Source organism: Homo sapiens, chromosome 7 (genome assembly GCF_000001405.40).
Source record: "Homo sapiens chromosome 7, GRCh38.p14 Primary Assembly".
Classification (NCBI taxonomy): Eukaryota; Metazoa; Chordata; class Mammalia; order Primates; family Hominidae; genus Homo; species Homo sapiens.
Window position 1 is genome coordinate 122,092,730 of NC_000007.14, and position 18,403 is coordinate 122,111,132.

At 33.8% G+C, this 18,403-nt stretch overlaps 1 protein-coding gene across 6 annotated transcripts in view; it reads right to left on the reverse strand.

Moving 5' to 3' along the window:
* The window catches only part of AASS (aminoadipate-semialdehyde synthase), a 70,701-nt gene that overhangs the window by 19,181 nt on the left and 33,117 nt on the right, over positions 1–18,403 (reverse strand). For 4 of the 6 annotated variants that reach the window (XR_007059980.1, XM_011515725.3, NM_005763.4 and 1 more), the window contains exons 12-17: positions 8,892–8,951; positions 8,642–8,709; positions 6,016–6,137; positions 5,721–5,847; positions 319–429; positions 114–222 (exon numbers count right to left, since the gene is read on the reverse strand). Coding sequence is in view for 4 of the 6 variants with exons in the window: in XM_011515725.3 (XP_011514027.1) it covers positions 114–222; positions 319–429; positions 5,721–5,847; positions 6,016–6,137; positions 8,642–8,709; positions 8,892–8,951 (597 nt within the window). In the remaining 2 variants the exon portion in view is untranslated. Of the gene's footprint in view, positions 1–113; positions 254–318; positions 430–5,720; positions 5,848–6,015; positions 6,138–8,641; positions 8,710–8,891; positions 8,952–18,403 lie in introns of those variants that run through there. The other 2 variants (XR_927326.3, XM_047419711.1) reach the window with 2 other exon arrangements.

Below are 18,403 nucleotides of genomic sequence, written 5' to 3' on the forward strand. Positions count from 1 at the left end.
AAAAAAATCTTTAACTTTGATTAAAGGTGTTGCTATATTATAACTCATACTTTGATTCTGTACACAAGAATTTAGACATTTTAATGTTGCCTTTGGGTACAAATTGGGCTCACCGTGGCTCCCACTTCCTTGGCTTTATCTATTGTTTCCATTGCTAACATGTGATCCAGACCAGGGTCCAATCCCAATTCACCAATGATTGTGATGCCAGCATCTTCCACACTGCAGCAGGTGGAAAGAGGAAAAAGGAAAACTTGGATATAAAATAAAAACAATGCCATGGATCCACTCAGTTTGTTTAAAATGATTAAAACTTACCTCTTTTCCAATTCTTTTAGTGCTGGTGTGATGTAGCTTGCAGTGACCATGTTAACTTTGTTTGTGATGCAGGCCTTGGCCACAAGAGGGTGCAATACATAAGGCAACAAGCTTGAAAACAGGAAGAAACTAATCAGAAACTCCCTTTTTCAACTCTACTTTCTAAGGTACTTGAACTGTATTAAAGCTGCATCTTAAGGTACTGTTCTGATTAAATTATTCTCTCAGAAAAGGGAACACTTATACACTGTTGGTGGGAATGTAAATTAGTTCAGCTGCTACAGAGGATAGTTCAGAGATTTCTCAAAGAGCTAAAGGTTGAACTATCATTCGACTTAGCAATCGCATTACTGGTTATCTATCCAAAGGAAAATAGATTATTCTACCAAAAAGACACAGGCACTCACATATTCATCACAGCACTATTCGCAATAACAAAGACATGGAATCAATTGACATGCCCATCAATAGTGGGATTGGGGCCAGGTGCTGTGCCTCATGCCTGTAATCCCAGAACTTTGGGAGGCCAAAGACAGGTGAGTCGCTTGGGCCCAGGAGTCGAGACCAGCTTGGACAAGATGGTGAAACATCATCTCTACAACAAATACAAAAATTGGCCCAGCATGTTGGCGCATGCCTGTAGTCCCAGCTACTCCAGAGACTGAAGTGGGAGGATCACTTGAACTCAGGAGGTCAAGGCTGCAGTGAGTTGAGATCACAGCACTGCACACTAGCCTGGGCAATAGAGTGAGACCCTGTCTCAATAAAACAAAACAAAATGAAACAAAAATAAAAAAACAAAAACCGTGAATTGGATTAAAAAATGTAGTACATATACACCATTGAATACTACATAGCCATAAAAAAGAATGAAATAGTGTTCTTTGCAGCAACATGGATGCAACTGGAAACTATTATCTTATGCGACCTAACACAGAAACAGAAAACCAAATACTGCAGGCTCTCACTTACAAGTAAGTGGGAGCTGAACACTGGGTACACATGGAATTAAAGATGGAAACAATAGACACTGAGGACTACAAGAGGGAAGAGATAAGAAGTGGAGCAGGGGCTGAAAAACAACCTACTGGGTACTATGCTTGCTACTTGGTGACAGATTCATTGATACTCCAGACCTCAGAATCACACAATATACCTTTGTAATAAATGTGCACATGTAACCCCTGATTGTAAAATAAAAGTTGAAAGTAAAATAAATAAATATTCCCTTGGAAAGACGTGATCAATGACTCCCTGTGGGCCACAGAATAAATTCACCCTGTTATCACATCTAAATAGCAATACTCTATTCTATTTACCTGTTGAGGAATAAAGGCCTGAGAAGTGGTTTTATTGTTTATTTTGTTTTTTTAATGAACTAGAGAAAATCTGAAGTATGCAGAGTTAATTTGACAAGTACAATGATGTAGTATGATATTGTTTATGTTGGTTTTTATTTTTTTGGTGGTACTGCAGACAGCTTTACCAAATAGTCAGTAAAAAACAACTTAAATATTGTCATGTAATTGACAGGGTATTTTATTATTCCTACAATAGACTATGGATATACTCATTTATATAACACTCATATTTATGAAAATTTGATATCTTGTGATTATGCAGACCCAGCACCAAATTATAATCCCAAAGCCAAAATTGTTGAAAACCCAATCAAAGTTGAGCTTTGAGTACAGCATCATCTGTTGTTCACCCTGTGGATTTTTAGCCATTCTGATACCTTTACACCGATCAACACCATGAAAGCCTATCTCCTCCTTGGGCCCTTCTTGGAGTCTACTCAATAATGTAATACATGGGCCATCTTGACCTAGTTTGACACTTCCTGATAGCCATTTGGAAGATGTGAAGGTAAAAAGAACAGCAGCCCTATTTTAGTGGAAAGCCCACGACAGAAAACCCCAATCCAAATTATACCTGCCTCTTTAAGAAATTTCTAAAGAGTTATTTTCCTCCACAAAGCTTTCCCAGATTTCCCCAAAGCCAGATATCCTTCCTCTGCATGCATCCAGTTATATATTTATAACATTTAATGGAATTTGCTCCATTCATCCCTATATTTCTACAGCTAATGTATTACATTATTGAGTAGACTCCAGGAAGGGTCCACGGAGGAGACAGGCTTTAACGGTGTTGATCAGTGTAAATGCTATCAAAATGGCTAAAAATCCACATGGTGAACAATGGATGATGCTGTACTCAAAGCTCAACTTTGATTCGGTTTTCAACAAATTTGGCTGTGGTATAATAATTTGGCTCTGGGACTGCATAATCAAAAGAAATTAAATTTTCATAAATATGAGTGTTATAAAAATGAGCATATCCATATTCTATTCTAGGAATAATAAAATACTCTGTTAATTACATGATAATATTTAATTTGTTTTTTAATGCCTATTTGGTAAAGCTGTCTACAGTACCAACAAAAAAAAATAAAAACCAACAGAAACAATATTACACTATATCATTGTACTTGTCAAATTCATTCTGCATAGTTCAGATTTTCTCTACTTCATAAAAAAAAAAAAACAATAAAACCACTTTTCAGGCATTTATTCCTCCTCAGGTCAACAGAATAGAGTATTGCTATTTAAATTTATTATAATGCAGAATAAAATTGTGTATGTCTTTTATCAGTATCAAAAGCTCCTGGTCTCTGTGTTTTTGTTTCCTTAAACCAAAAATAATTACTGCTAACAAATTTAGTAGACTTTTGGAAACCACTGAGCAAAATACTCGCAAAACTATTAGAACCAAATATTAATAGAAAATGTGCAATGTCATCATCTTAAAGGTTAAACAGAAATTTTTAAATCACATTCTCCATATTAAACTTGCTCAATCAAAATTTTACTAAGATCTAATAATATTTTAAAACTTTGGCCTTATAATAGGCTGAGAAGTAGAATGATAGGACTTTGCCTGTGGTACTTTTTTAGACGAAGGGATTAGAGTTCATAATTCGTCTCGAATATGATACAGTAAGCACTCAATGGGACATACTCTTAAATTATTTAAGTTGACTCCAACCCAATTACTCCAAAAGGTCGAAAATGTCACTTGTGAAAAATACACACAAAATACATGTGGAATTTTCAAAGAAACTTGAAATCAATTACTACTTTGTATTAAATTAAAAACTAAATTTGAAAAATTATAACTATGAGAATTGTACATATTACTAAACATTTTTTGTGAAACATATTCTTTACTCATTTTTTTGTAGTCCCTATCACTGTGGTTATATCAAAACATTCTTTCCCCAACTTAAAAAATAAAACAATTAGCCAGGCATGGTGGCTTATGCCTGTAATCCTGACACTTTGAGAGGCTGAGGCAAGTAGATTGCTTGAGGAGTTCAAGACCAGCCTGAGCAACATGGTGATATCCCATTGCTACTAAAAATACAAACTTTAGCTAGGCATAGTGGCAAGTGCCTGTAGTCCCAGCTACTTGGGTGGTTGAGGTGGGAGGATCACTTGAGTCTGGGAGGTGAAGGTTGCAGTGAGCCAAGATTGTGCCACTGCATTCCAGCCTGGGTGACAAAATGAGACTGTCTCAAAAAAAAGAAAAAAAAAATTTAAGGAATGTTATAGGATAACATTGTTTAATGGCATTACCATTATTCAGCATAGAAAATACACCAAATGAGAAAACATTAAATATAAAACAGTTTTTGCTAATGCTAAATCCTATTGAAGGCCACTAGTTTGCTAAATTTTAAAATTTGGACATATTAAGAGATTGATGTCTTTGTCCATTATCTTGTCACATTTTATTTCAGATTCTGTTCCAAATGGATTTTATCATGTTATTTTACTTTTAATTAAAAATGATATATTTAGATACCTCTGTGTGGCAAAATAAATTATTGTTCTACTCAGAAGGCTAGATCATTCTATTTTGAATCAGAATTTCTTTTCATGGTAATATCAGAGAGGTTCAGTTGGTCATTAGTCAATTTTTTCTAAATAAAAATTAACGCTCATAACATTTATATAAATTGAGTAACATTTTAAGTGCATAAAGTTAGCCTGTATTTAAAGATATCAAGAGAAATGTAAAAATGCCAGCCTACAGAACTACCTTTCATTATATGTTTTCCAAGCCTGCTTTTTTTTTTTTAAAGCAGAACATCACAGAACTTCCTCCAAAGATACAATTTGAATCTGATCTGTGAAAGTGACTAGGTAATCACTATGAGGGAACAGATAACTTTCTTCTTCTCATCTTGGGAAAATTCTAGGAATGAATGACTATTTTCATCACTTTGACATTTCAAAACCAAATTTATTTATTTATTTATTTATTACTTTTATTTTAGGTTCAGGGGTACATGTGCAGGTTTGTTATACAGGTAAATTGTATGTTATGGGGGTATGGTGTACAGATTATTTCATTATCTAGGTAATAAGCATAGTACCCAATGGGTAGTTTTTCGATCCTCACCCTCCTCCCACCTTTTACCCTTAAGCAGGCCCTGATGTCTGTTGTTCCTTTCTTTGTGTACATATGTACTCAAATATCAAAACCAAATTTAGTTATAAAGTGAATCTCATGTAATTCTGTGTCTAGATGTTAGATCTGCATTTTTGTTAGTAATACTCTATTTCAGGATCTGTTGCTATGATGAGACTTAAAATGGTCATAAGGCTAAATAATCTACTTATTCCATTTAAGCTTTATAACTCCAAAGGATAAAATAGACACTTAAGTATATAAAACATTAATACCTTATGACCTGCAATCCCACTTCTAAGTACATACCCAACAGAAATGTATAATTACTGTTTTAGTGAAATGGTCACTAAAAGACAAATACCGAAATGTGTATAGCAGTGTGACTTATAATAGCCAAAATCCAGAAACAACCTAAATATCTATAGTAGTCAAATAAATAATAATGGTATATTCACATAATGAAATACTATACAGCAATGAGAATGAATAAATTATCATTTCAGACAATAGCACAAATGACTCTTGTAATCACAACATTGAATGGAAGAAGGAAGCCACAAATGAGGATATATTGAATGATTCCAATTATATGAAGTCTGAAAGCAGGCAGAAACTAAATGTCAGAAGCCAGGATAGTGTTTACCCTTAGAGGATGGGGTAAGTGAATAGAAAGAGGCACCAGGAGGGCTTCTGGGGAATTACTGATACTCTTGTTTCCTGACATAAATAATCATCACAGAATGTGTTCACTTTGTGAAAATTCATTGAGCTATATACTTATGATTTGTGCACCTTCTGGACCCATACTTCAATTAAAAACTTTACTCCAAAGGAGTATGAAGAGAGGAGAAGTGAAAGAGAAAGAAAAATGAGAAAAGAAATAACAACAAAAATATGAAACTCATTTCTTGCCAGATACTGACCTGATGACAAGATCCTGTTTTGCCACCAAGAAGCCCAGCTTCTCTTCTTGTTTACAAATGTCCATGCTAACAGGATTAATATTATATTTCTTGCCTAACTGTTCAATTTGATTCTTCATGTCAGATCCTATTTCAGTAATTAAAAGTCACATTTTTAGATATGTCAGAGTAAAATATATTTTAACATCTCCAAAAATAAATTTTCAAATTTCAGAAACAAAGTAGTCTTCTAAAATGTAGAAGTCAACACGCTATAAAATACATTTTTCTTCTTCAAAAATTAGGGCTTATTTACCTACTGTTATTTCTATATTGCCATCTCTTGATAAATATTCTAATACAGGCTCAGATATGTAGCCAGATCCAAGAACCAAAACCTTTCTCCTGGTGCCCATTGAAAGTGACTGAGCACGTTCCCTATTTAAAAAAAAAAAAAAAAAAAAAAAAGGGAAGGGGCTAATTAAAAATTTTTTTTTAAATAACAGAATCTTGCATTCCACAAATCATACTAAAACCTAAATAATGAAGCAACATTTTCTCTTCACATTACTTAAAATAAGAATTTCAACATGAATGAGTTCCCTATAACAACATGTTTCTTTAATTATTTTACATTTTGTACAATGAAGAACAATAGACCTGACATCTCTGAGATATATATCTACAGACGTATAGATGTATTTCATGAATTCCCAGTATTACTAGTGAGGTGCAGATGCTGGACATTTTCTTGGCTTACTTGTGATTGAGTAACTTGGTCTCACATTTTATCCTTCCAGAAGATGTGGTTCAAAATCATACAAGGGGTTTTACCTTGGAAACCTTATTTATTCCTCACAACAATCCCAGAAGACAACAATTTGAGGAAGAGAATATTATTATCCATATTAGAAATTGTTTTGTCATATATCTTTAGAGTCACTTGAAAATAGCAAAACCATGACTTTGAGTCACACATGCCATGGGTTAAATGTAGAAGCTGAAGACTAGTGTTAGGCATTATTTTAATTCTTGAACAGTCTATTCTGCTGGAATTTATATTAATACCTTCCAGGCAGATGACTTTCTGTCTTTCCCACAAACTATGACCTCCAAGGCAGCATCTAAGACTTACCCATCTTTACAAACCCATTAATGCTCAGCACATTTTGTCTTAAATATGGAATTTACTCATTAAATATTTTTTGAATCAAATTCCCTGTTATCAACATGAAACCATAGAAATGGCCTAGTGCCAGGGACTGAAGTAGGCTCTGTTATTTAGAATCTTTAGGCCATAATGTCTCTTGAACATTAACCCAAAAAACTTTTCATTAATTTTTAACAAATAAAAATAAATATAAGTATAAAAAATTCCTGTCCTTCTGTATCCCAACACACATATTACTGATGTGAAGAGGTCTCATTTAACTACTACCATCTCCCATTTCACCTTCCAGAGAGAACCACTATTATTCGGTTATTATATTTTCTGTCTAACAATATTTTCTATAGTTTGTATAATTAAAACATTCCAAATACCAAATGCTCAAAACAGAAACTCACTCCTAGATTCTAATACTGTCCAGCCCATCAGTACCCCCAAACCCCAGACTCCAGGTTAATAATCACGTGCTAAGTGATGAAAAGAAGAGAAGAATAAGGCAGGGTTCAATATAAAGTAAATTTCCTTTCAAAATGCAACCTTTGTTATCAGTATCTTGGCACAAGTTTCCATCAGGAAAGAGGGCAGCAAGTTCTAGCAATCGGAGCCAAGTAAACCTGCTGCTTCATGAAATATGACACATAAGAGAGAAGATATCATCTTGACCAGTCATGTTAGACATGTCACTAGTTTCAGTAGTGTAAAAGACCATCGGATGATGAGAACCAAAACATAGAGCTATGAAAAACAAACAGATGTGAAGTTTTACTTGTAAGAAACTCTCCTACAGGGTTATAGAGCTAGCTTCTCTTATTCACAAAGAAAAAAAGTAAATACTTAGTGTCTTATGCCAGTATATTTCACTGACACATTAAAAAGTAACTATAATCAAACCAGCACATATGGAAAAGCCTAACTATAGTACGCTTGATCTGGGCAGATCTCTTTGTTTACTGCTTGTAGTAGAACCACTGAAAAAGAAGATAAAACAGTTGTGTTATTTTTTTTTCCAACTCTGGTTTCTCCTGATACTTCAGTACATGGGTTCCTTTTTTAATGTGAAAAGACCAGCAGAGTAGATATAAACACAGATCAAGGGCAATTGGCTGGAGGAGACCAGAATATTCCAAAAAAATAAAATCAATGTTTTCAAACTTTAAGTAGTAAAATCAATTAAGGAAACAAGGGCCTTAGCTAAAGACCTTTCTAAAGTAACTATTCTCTTGAGTAGATTTGCTACATTACTTTTTGGCACCTTCCCCCTAATAAGAATCCCTGGAGAAAACTACCTCTTACTTTCATCAATTGTTTATTCACAACTCTCTTAATTTGTAACCACGAATTCACTTCCCTGAACATTATACTAAACAAAAGAGAGTCCAAATCCTCAACTAAAACCCAAACTGAAAGCACCACAGAAAGGCTAGTGTGCTCATTTTCCTTTGAGAAAATAACCGAGGCATGATCATGTATCAAAAGCTAGAGAAAAACAAGAAGCTACCTGAAGGACAATCCTTTTGGATTTTTGCTTGCTTACCCATACGTCTACACAGGCTATTAGAAAGCCAAAATGACGCTATACTACTGTTAAGTGGGAAACAGTCACAGTGGTTTCAGCCAGCCACTTAGTTTGGATTTCCTACATTTTCAAACATTATCAAAATTTATATAGTGTACAAACCTAATATTAAGAACTCCCATTGAAGCATTAAAAAATACTCATGAATTCCAAGATAAGAATAAATGTATAAAACAAGAGGATTTGAACAATACTTACCTGCTCTCCCGGAGTGTCTGGATATATTTATATTTATCAGGTAATGTACCGTTGGATGTAATCACTGCCTAAATGTATATGACACAAGACATTTCTTTAGTATCCACATTTTAGTCCTACAAACAAGGTGTCATGACTGATAGAGAAAAGACAGAATGACAAAGATGGAGAGAGAGAGAAACAGAGAGAAGAGAGCAAAAATGGTAGTAAAAAAATACATTTATGAAAAAATATTCTGCTCATAACTTACATCTCTCACCACAGGAGAAAAATTCTGACTTTCAAGAGGCTGTGTCGCGTCTGATAATATCTGAAAGGAAAATGAGATTTGTAAGAGATAAATGACACTGCAAAGAAGGCCTCTTGGTGTTTGTATCCATATTAAAATATTAATCAAGGGAAAAAAATAATTTAAGAAACAGTTTTCTGAGGATCACCGAGTATAAGTGATTGCTAATAGAAGTCTTCTACAAGCAATCAACTCTGCCCACAAGACTATGGTGTTTCAGCACAAGTCCCAATTTTAAAACTAAAATTGGATTATAATCATCTTTGCTTGCTGTGAACACAAAAAAGCTTATCCTTTCCAACCAGTTAAATGTATCATATTAAGCATGTTGTCAAATATCTTCACAAGCTTTATAGCTATAGTCCTCCCTTCAAGGGCCTCTACTCCATTCCAAAAGTTCAAGCTGTTCTATTAGGAATAGAGAATGAGGTTTTCCACTCAGCAAGGCCACCAACCCTGCAGTAAGGGGTCTCCCTCAGATCAGTATCAGTATTAGTAGTTATATGTATAGGTACATCAGCATTTCAAAGGTGGTAGCAAAAGTGACTTGACTGAGTAGACCTAGAAAGTCATTCACACCCTCTTCACATTATCTTGCAAAATTGAGTCAGAGACAACAAAAAAAGTAAGATGTCTCATGTTAACATTTCAGCAACCTTCTAGTCCTCCTCTTTTCTCCCAAGGAACCCAACTCTTGAATATACTGCCAAGAAGTAATGGGCATGTAAGTTAGTCCTTCTCAAAGAACCCAATTCTTGAATATACTGCCAAGAAGTAATGGCATATAAGTTAGCATTGCTGTTTCTGGTGGACAGGGAAGAGCCAATGAGACAATCTTTCCTCCCTAACTATAGGTTAAGATCTAGCTCTCTCACCCAACTAAGAACAAGAAAAATGTTCCTAGAAGGTGCTGGTAACAGAGAATTTATTTACTGTATTAAAATAAATAGAAAATGGTTTTCATGTATCTAAAATAAATGGTAATTTGAAAAAGGTCAGTTCTCCAAAGGACTGAAACCTAGATTTAAATTACTTCATCCTAACTGAATTTAGGTGAATTTCTCCTAACCTTTACCCTTGTCTATCTCACTGCCCAAAACAAAGAATATATTATCTGGAGGAAAATCACACAACATCCAGAGCCTCGAGTCATCTCTAAAATTTTGAATACGCAATGTCTGGCATTAAACCAAAAATAAATAAATATATTGAAAGGTAAGAATTTACTGAAAACCATAAAAACCAAGGAAAAAAACAGGGAACATAAATAGAACCAAGAAGTGTAATGGAATTAACAAAAATGATTCTAAATTGTGATTAATATGTTCAAAAAATAAAAGGACAATATAGATAACTTTTTTAAAAAATGTAAAACTTTAAAATTAGTGAATATAAGTTTTTGATAAATGAAAAATAACATGTTTCAAGCCTTGGAAGACAGATGAACATCCAAATATATGAAGCTCAACAATCTCCAAACAGAGTTAACCCAAAGAGGTCCCTTTATAATTACTGTCAAAAACCAAAGACAAATGATATTAAAAGCAGCAAGATAAAAATATCATGTTACATATAAGGGAATCTCCATTAGACTATCAGCAGATTTCTCAGTAGAAATCCTGCAGGCCAGGAGAGAATGGGATGATATATTCAAAGTGCTGATGCACAGAAACCTGCCAGCCAAAAATACTATACACAGCAAAGCTGTCCTTCAGAAAAAAAGAAGAAATAAACTCTTTCCCAGACAAGCAAAAGTTTAGGGAATTCTTCACCACTAGAGCTGCTCTATAAGAAATGCTTAAGGGAGTTTTTCAAGTAGAAAAAAAGAACATTACTAACATGAAAACATAAAAAGTAAAAAAATCCACTGATAAAGGTAGATATATATTCAAATCCAGAATACCCTGATACTACTATGGCACTCTGCAAAACATAGGTATATATAACTCTAGGATGGAAGTTAAAATTCAAAACAGTCAAAAATAATGATAGCTACAATAAAGTATTAAGAAATATGTAAGCTAAAAAGATGAAAATTGTGACATCAAAAAATATTAACTGGTTGCACCCAACTCAGAAAGGTAAAAAAGAAATATGAATATATGTACATATACATATATATGTGTGTATATATACTATATATACTATACACACACACACACGCTGGTGGGAGGGTAGAATTCTACAGTTTTTGTATGCAACTGAATTTAAGTTGTTATTAGTATAAAATAGTCTATTATAACTATAAGACATTTTATGTAAGCCTTGTGGTAACCACAAAGCAGAATACTAAAGCAGATATACAAATGATAAAGATAAAAGAATACAAATTTAGCACTAAAGGAAATCACTAAATCACAAAGATAAACAGGAGAGGAAAAAAAGAACAAATAAGCTATAAAGCAATCAGAAAACATTTAACAAAATGGCAGTAGTAAGTCCTTGGCATATCAATAATTACTCTGAATGTAAACAGATTAAATTGTTCAATTAAAACACAGAGTGGCTGAATGGATTAAAAAAACAAAGCTCTACTATTCACAATAGCAAAGTTATGGAACCAATCTAGATACCCATCAGTGGTGAATTGGATAAAGAAAATGTGGTATATATACACCATGGAATACTATGCAGCCATAAAAAAGAATGAAATTGGCCAGGCACAGTGGCTCACACCTGTAATCCCAGCACTTTGAGAGGCCAAGGTGAGCAGATCACCTGATGTCAGAAGTTCAAGACCACCCTGGCCAACATGGTGAAACCCTGTCTCTACTAAAAATACAAACATTAGCCAGGCTTGGTGGTGGGCACCTGTAATCCCATCTACTGGGGAAGCTGAGGCAGGAGAATTGCTTGAACCCAGGAGGCAGAGGTTTGTGAAATGAGATGGTGCCACTACACCAGCCTAGGTGACAGAGCAAGACTGCCTCAAAAATAAACAAACAATGAAACTACGTCCTTTGCAGCAATCTGGATGCAGATGAAGGCCATTATCCTAAGCAAATTAATGTAGGAACAGAAAACCAAATACCACATGTTCTCAGTTATAAGTGGGAGCTAAACACTGAGTACACATGGACACAAAGAAGGGAACAATAGAAACCAGGGTATACTTGAGGGTGGAGGATGGGAGGAGGGTGAAGACTGAAAAACTACCTATCAGGTACTATGCTCACTACTTTAGTGACGAATTCATTTGTGCTCCAAACCCCAGTGACATGCAATTTACTCATGTAATAAAACTGCACATGTACCCCCGAACCTAAAATAAAAGTTGCAAAGAGAAAAAAAAAATAAGCTCTCACTATATGCTGCACACAAGAGACACACTTTCACCTTAAGAATGCACATAGGCTTTCATCCCTCAAAGGGGATGAAAGAAGATATTCCTTGCAAATAATACCAACAGAGGACAGGGACAATACTTATTCTAGATAGAAAAAACTTAACACAAAAATTTTCACAAGAGACAAAGAAAGTCATTATTAAAGAGCTCAAGTCATTAAGAAGTCATAGCAATTGTAAATACATGTGCACTCAACATTGGAACACCTAAACATATAAAGCAAATATTAATTAATCAACATGAAGGTAAAAAATAGATACCAAAACAATAATAGTAGGAGACTTCAATACCCCTCTTTCAAAGATGGAAAGATCAACCAGAAAGAAATTAATAAGAAAATACTGGAATTGATCTGTGCTTTAGACAAAATGGACCTAATAGATAAATATAGAACTTTTTATCCAGTAGCACCAGTGTACGCATTCTTCTCTAGTACATATAGAATGCTCTCCAGAATAGACCATATGGTAGGCCACAAAATATGTCTTAACAAATTCAAAAAAATTGAAATCATATTAAGTATTGTTTCTGATCACAGTGGTATGAAGCTAGAAATCAATAACAAGAGAAACTTTGGAAACTACAAACACATGCAAATTAAACAACATAATCCTCATCAATCAAGGAGTCAATAGAGAAACTAAAAGGGAAATTTAAAAATTTCTAGAGACAAATGAAAATGAAAACACAACCTACCAAAACCTATGGGATACAGCAAAAGCAGTACTCAGAAGGAAGTTTATAGCAATTTTGAAATGCCTATTTCAAAAAAGAACAAAGATCTCAGATAACCCAATGTTGCACCTCAAGGACCAAGAAAAACAGGAACAAACTGAACCCAAAATTAGTAGACACAAAGAAATAATGATGGTTAGAGAAGACATAAACAAAATAGAGACTTAAAAAATATAAAAGATCAATGAAACAAAGAGTTTGTTTGAAAAGGTAAACAAAATCAACAAACCCTGTGTCTGCCTAAGGAGAAAAGACTCAAATGAATAAAATTTTAGATGACTGTTGTTGGTGTGTTGAAATGCTAGTGATTTTTGTATGTTGATTTTGTATCCTGAAACTTTGCTGAAATTGTTTATCAGCTTAATTTTTGGGCTAAGACTAGGGGGTTGTCTAGATATAGAATCATGTCATCTGCAAAAAGGGATAATTTGACTTCCTCTCTTCCTATTTGAATGCTTTTTATTTCTTTCTCTTGCCTGATTGTTCTGGCCAGGACTTCCAATACTATGTTGGATGCAAGTGGTAAAAGAGGGCATCCTTGTTGCCAGTTTTCAAGGGGAATCAATGTTATTAAAATGGCCATACTGCCCAAAGCAATTTATAGATTCAATGCTATTCTTATCAAATTACCCATGACATTCTTCATAGAACTAGAAAGAAACTATTTTAAAATTCATATGGAACCAAAAAGAAGCAGAATAGCCAAGGCAATCCTAAACAAAAAAAAACAGAGCTGGAGGTATCATGCTACCTGACTTCAAACTATATTACAGGGCTACAGTAACCAAAACAGCATAAGACTCGTACAAAACCAGACACAAAGACCAATAAAACAGAATAGAGAGCTCAAAAATAAGGCCACACATCTTCAACCATCTGATCTTCAACAAAGCTGACAAAAACAAACAATGAGGAAAGGACTCCCTGTTTAATAAATGGTGCTGGGATAACTGGCTAGCTATATGCAGAAGATTAAAACTGGATCACTTCCTTACAGCATATAAAATGGTGTAAATCAACTCAAAGTGGATTAAAGAATGAAATGTAAAACCCAAAATTATAAAAACCCTGGAAGATGATCTAGGCAAAACCATTCTGGACATGGGAACTAGCAAAGATTTCATGATGAAGACACCAAAAACAAATGCAACAAATGGGATCTAATTAAACTAAGGGGGTTTTGCACAGCAAAAGAAACTATGAACAGAGTAAACAATCTACAGAATGGGAGAAAATATTTGCAAACTATGCATCTGACAAAAGTCTAATATCTAGCTTCTATAAAAACTTAAATTTACAAGAAAAAACAAACAACCCCATTAAAAGCTGGGCAAAGGACATGAACAGACACTTTTCAATTGAAGACATACATGCAGTCAACAAGCATATGAAAACAAATTCAACATCACTGATAATTAAAGAAATGCAAATCAAAACCACAATGAGATACCGTCTCACACTAGTCAGAATGGATATTACTAAAAGGTCAAAACATAACAGATGCTGGTGAGGTTGTGGAGAAAAACGAATGCTTATACACTGTTGGTGGGAGTAAAAATCAGTTCAACCATTGTGGAAAGCAGTGTGGCAATTCCTCAAAGAGCTAAAAACAGAACTACTCTTCAACCCAGCAATCCATTACTGGGTAATATACCCAAAGGAATATAAAATGTTCTATCATAAGGACACATACACATGCACATGCTGTTGTAAAGAGTGCTCATTGGAGCGCTATTGTAAATAGCAGAGACATGGACTCAACCTAAATGCCTATAAATGATAGACTGTATAAAGAACATGTGGTACACCATGGAATACTATGAAGCCATAAAAAAGAATGAGATCATGTCTTTTGCAGGAACATGGATAGAGCTAGAAGCCATTATCCTTAGCAAATTAATGCAGGAACAGAAAACCAAATACTGCATGCTCTCCCTTATAAGCAGGAGCTAAATGATGAGGACACATAGACACATAGAGGGGAACAACACACACTGGGGCCTTCCTGAGGGAGAAGGGAGAGGAGCACAAAAAATGACTATTGGGTAGTAGGCTTAATACCCTGGTGATGAAATAATCTGCACATCCACCCCTCGTGACACAAGTTTACCTATAGAACAAACCTGCACATGTACCCCTGAACCTAAAAGTTTTTTTTAAGTATGTATTAGCTTCTGCAACATTATTGCATAACAAATCACCCACAACTCAAAAAAAAAAAAAAAAACACAGATGAAAAAGGAGACATTACAACTTATACCACAGAAATACAAAGGATCATAAGAGAGCATTATGAACAATGATATGCCAAAAACTTGGAAAACCTAGAAGAAATGAACAAATTCCTGGACACATACAACCTACCAAGATTGAACCAGAAAAAAATAAACAATCTGAATAGGCGAATCGATAACAAGCAGCAAGATTGAATCAGTAATAAAAAGTCTCCCATCAAAGACTAGCCCAGGGCCTGATGGTTTCACTACTGAACTCTACCAAACATTTAAAGAAGATTTAATACCAATTCTTCTCAAACTATTCCAGAATATCAAGGAGGAGGGAATTCTTCCAAACTAATTCTATAAGGCCAGTGTTATTGTGATACCAAAATCAGACAAGGACGTAACAAAAAAAGTAAACTTCAGGCCAATATCCCTGAAGAACATAGATACAAAAATTTTCAACAAAATACTAGAAAACCAAATTTAACAGCATATTTACAAGAGCATTCACCATAATAAATGGGATTCATTCCAGGGGTGCAAGAATGGTTCAACATATGCAAATTAATAAACATAATTTATCACATTGACAGAATGAAGGACAAAAACCATATGATTATTCCAACAGAAACAGAAAAAAATATTTGACAAATTCAACATCACCTTATGATAAAAACTTTCATCAAATTTGGCATACAGGGTACATACCTCAACATAATAAAAGCCATATTTGACAGACCCACAGCTAACATCATACTGATCATGGAAAATTGAAAGCTTTTTCTCTAAGATATGGAACAAGAAAAGGATGCTACTATTCAACATAGTACTGGATGTTCTAGTCAGTGTAACTAGGCAAAAAAAAAGAAAACAAAGGTACCCAAATTGGAAAGCAGGAAGTCAAATTGTCCTTGTTTGAAGATGACGAAATCTTATATATAGAAAACCCTAAAGACTCCATCAAAACACTGTTGGAACTGATAAATTTAGTAAAATTGCAGAATGCAAAATCAACATACAAAAATTAGTAGCATTTCTATATGCCAACTGTGAACAATCTGAAAAAAAATCCCATTTCCAATAGCCACAGCAAAAATAAGATGCATAAGAATAAATTTAACCAAGGAAATGAAAGATCTCTATACTAAAAACTGTAAAACATTGATGAAAGACATTGAAGAAAACAAAAACAAATGTAAAGATATTCCCATGTTCATGGAATGGAAGAATTTATATTGTTAAAATGCCCATACTACCCAAAGCAATCTACCAATTCAGGGCAATCCTTACCAAAAAAAAAAAAAAAATGATAATCTTCACAGAAATAGAAAAGACAATCCTAAAACTAGTATGAAATCACAAAAGACCCCAAATCGTCACACAATATTTAGCAAAAAGAACGAAGCTGGAGGCATCACACTACCTGACTTCAAAATATACTACAAAGCTATAGTAACCAAAACAGCATGGTACTGGCATAACAGCAGACACATAAACCAATGGAACAGAAAAGCAAGCCCAGAAAGAAATCCATGCATCTATATCCACCAGTTTTGGAGAAAAGTGTCAAGAACAAACATTAAGGGAAGAAGAGTCTCTTCAATAAATGGTGCTGGGAAAATTGGATATCTACATTCAGAAGAATAAAACTAGACCCCCTATTTCTCATCATATAAACAAATCAACTCAAAATGGATTAAACACTTAAATGGAAGACCTAAAACTATGAAACTACTAGAAGAAAAAAAAAACACAGGGGAAATGCTTCATTACATTGACCTGGTTAAGAATTTTTTGGATAAGAACTCAAAAGCACAAGCACAAAACCCAAAAACAGACAAATGGAATTACATCAAACTAAAAAGCTTCTGCACAGCAAAACAAACAAACAAAAGATCAATTGAGTGAAGAAACAACAGAATGGGAAAAAGTATTTGCAAACTATACGTCTCACAAGGAAGTAATACTCAGAATATACAAGAAAGTCAAAGAACAAAACAAGAGATAATACAATCAAAAATGGGCTGTACTCAAAGTAAATCTAATGGCTTTAAAATGCACATATTGCTAAAGAGAAACACAGGAAAACAATTACCTAAGCACTTATTGCAAGAAGTTATGAAAAGAAAGGTTAACTAAGCTCTCAATAAAGTAAAATAAAGAATATAGTATAGGTAAGATTATAAATTAAGAAAACAGAAAATGATATAAAATAGAGATGATCACCAAAGTTGAACTGATTTTTTGCGATGACTAATAAAATTGATCAAGTCCAGGTAAAACAGATTAAGAAAAAACAGAAGGCATACCCAACCAACATCAGGAAAAAGAGAAATCACTACAGAATCTATTAAAGAGTTAATAAGGTTATTACTAAAAAAAAAATGACAATAAAGTTTACAACTTAGATGAAATATAAATTCCTAGAAAATAAGCATACCAAAATTGACAAAGAAAAATAAAAATCTGAACATTCTTAAGTTTTTAAATAAAATGTAATCTATAATTTTAAAACTTACCCTTAAAACTAAAAAAAGAAACAAACAAAAATGCTACCAACCCAAATAGTTTTGCTAATGAATTGTATCAAGTAGAACTAACACTAATCTCATGTAAAATGTTCCTGAGACCAAAAATAAGGAAATACTCTCTAACTTGTTTTCAAGCCAACATAAACTTAATATCCAAACCTGACAAAGACCTTATAATAAAATAAAGTTATAGATTAAGCTCTCTAATGAACATAGATGTTAATAATCCTAAACAAGATAAATCTATGTGCAAACTCAACAAAATAATGTGGAGATATATATATATATATATCTCCACAACCCCAAATGTCTACCAATGGTAAAATAGATTAATAAATGTTGGTATATTTCTTAGCAACCAGAACTTAGTCATAAATAAAAGGTTAACATACAACCAAGTTGGATTTATCCTAAGACTGTGAAGTTAGTTTGATATTTGAAAACCAATTGACACAATTCACATATTAACAGAGAAAAGGAAAAAATGATCTTCTCAATGAATACAGAAAATGCATTTGATACATGTACATAATATCCACATCATCCAGGCCATAATCCAGAATTATTCAGTCTATGAAAACCAGAAGACTATGACCAATTCTCAAAGGAAAAGACAATCAATAAAGTTCAACCACAAAT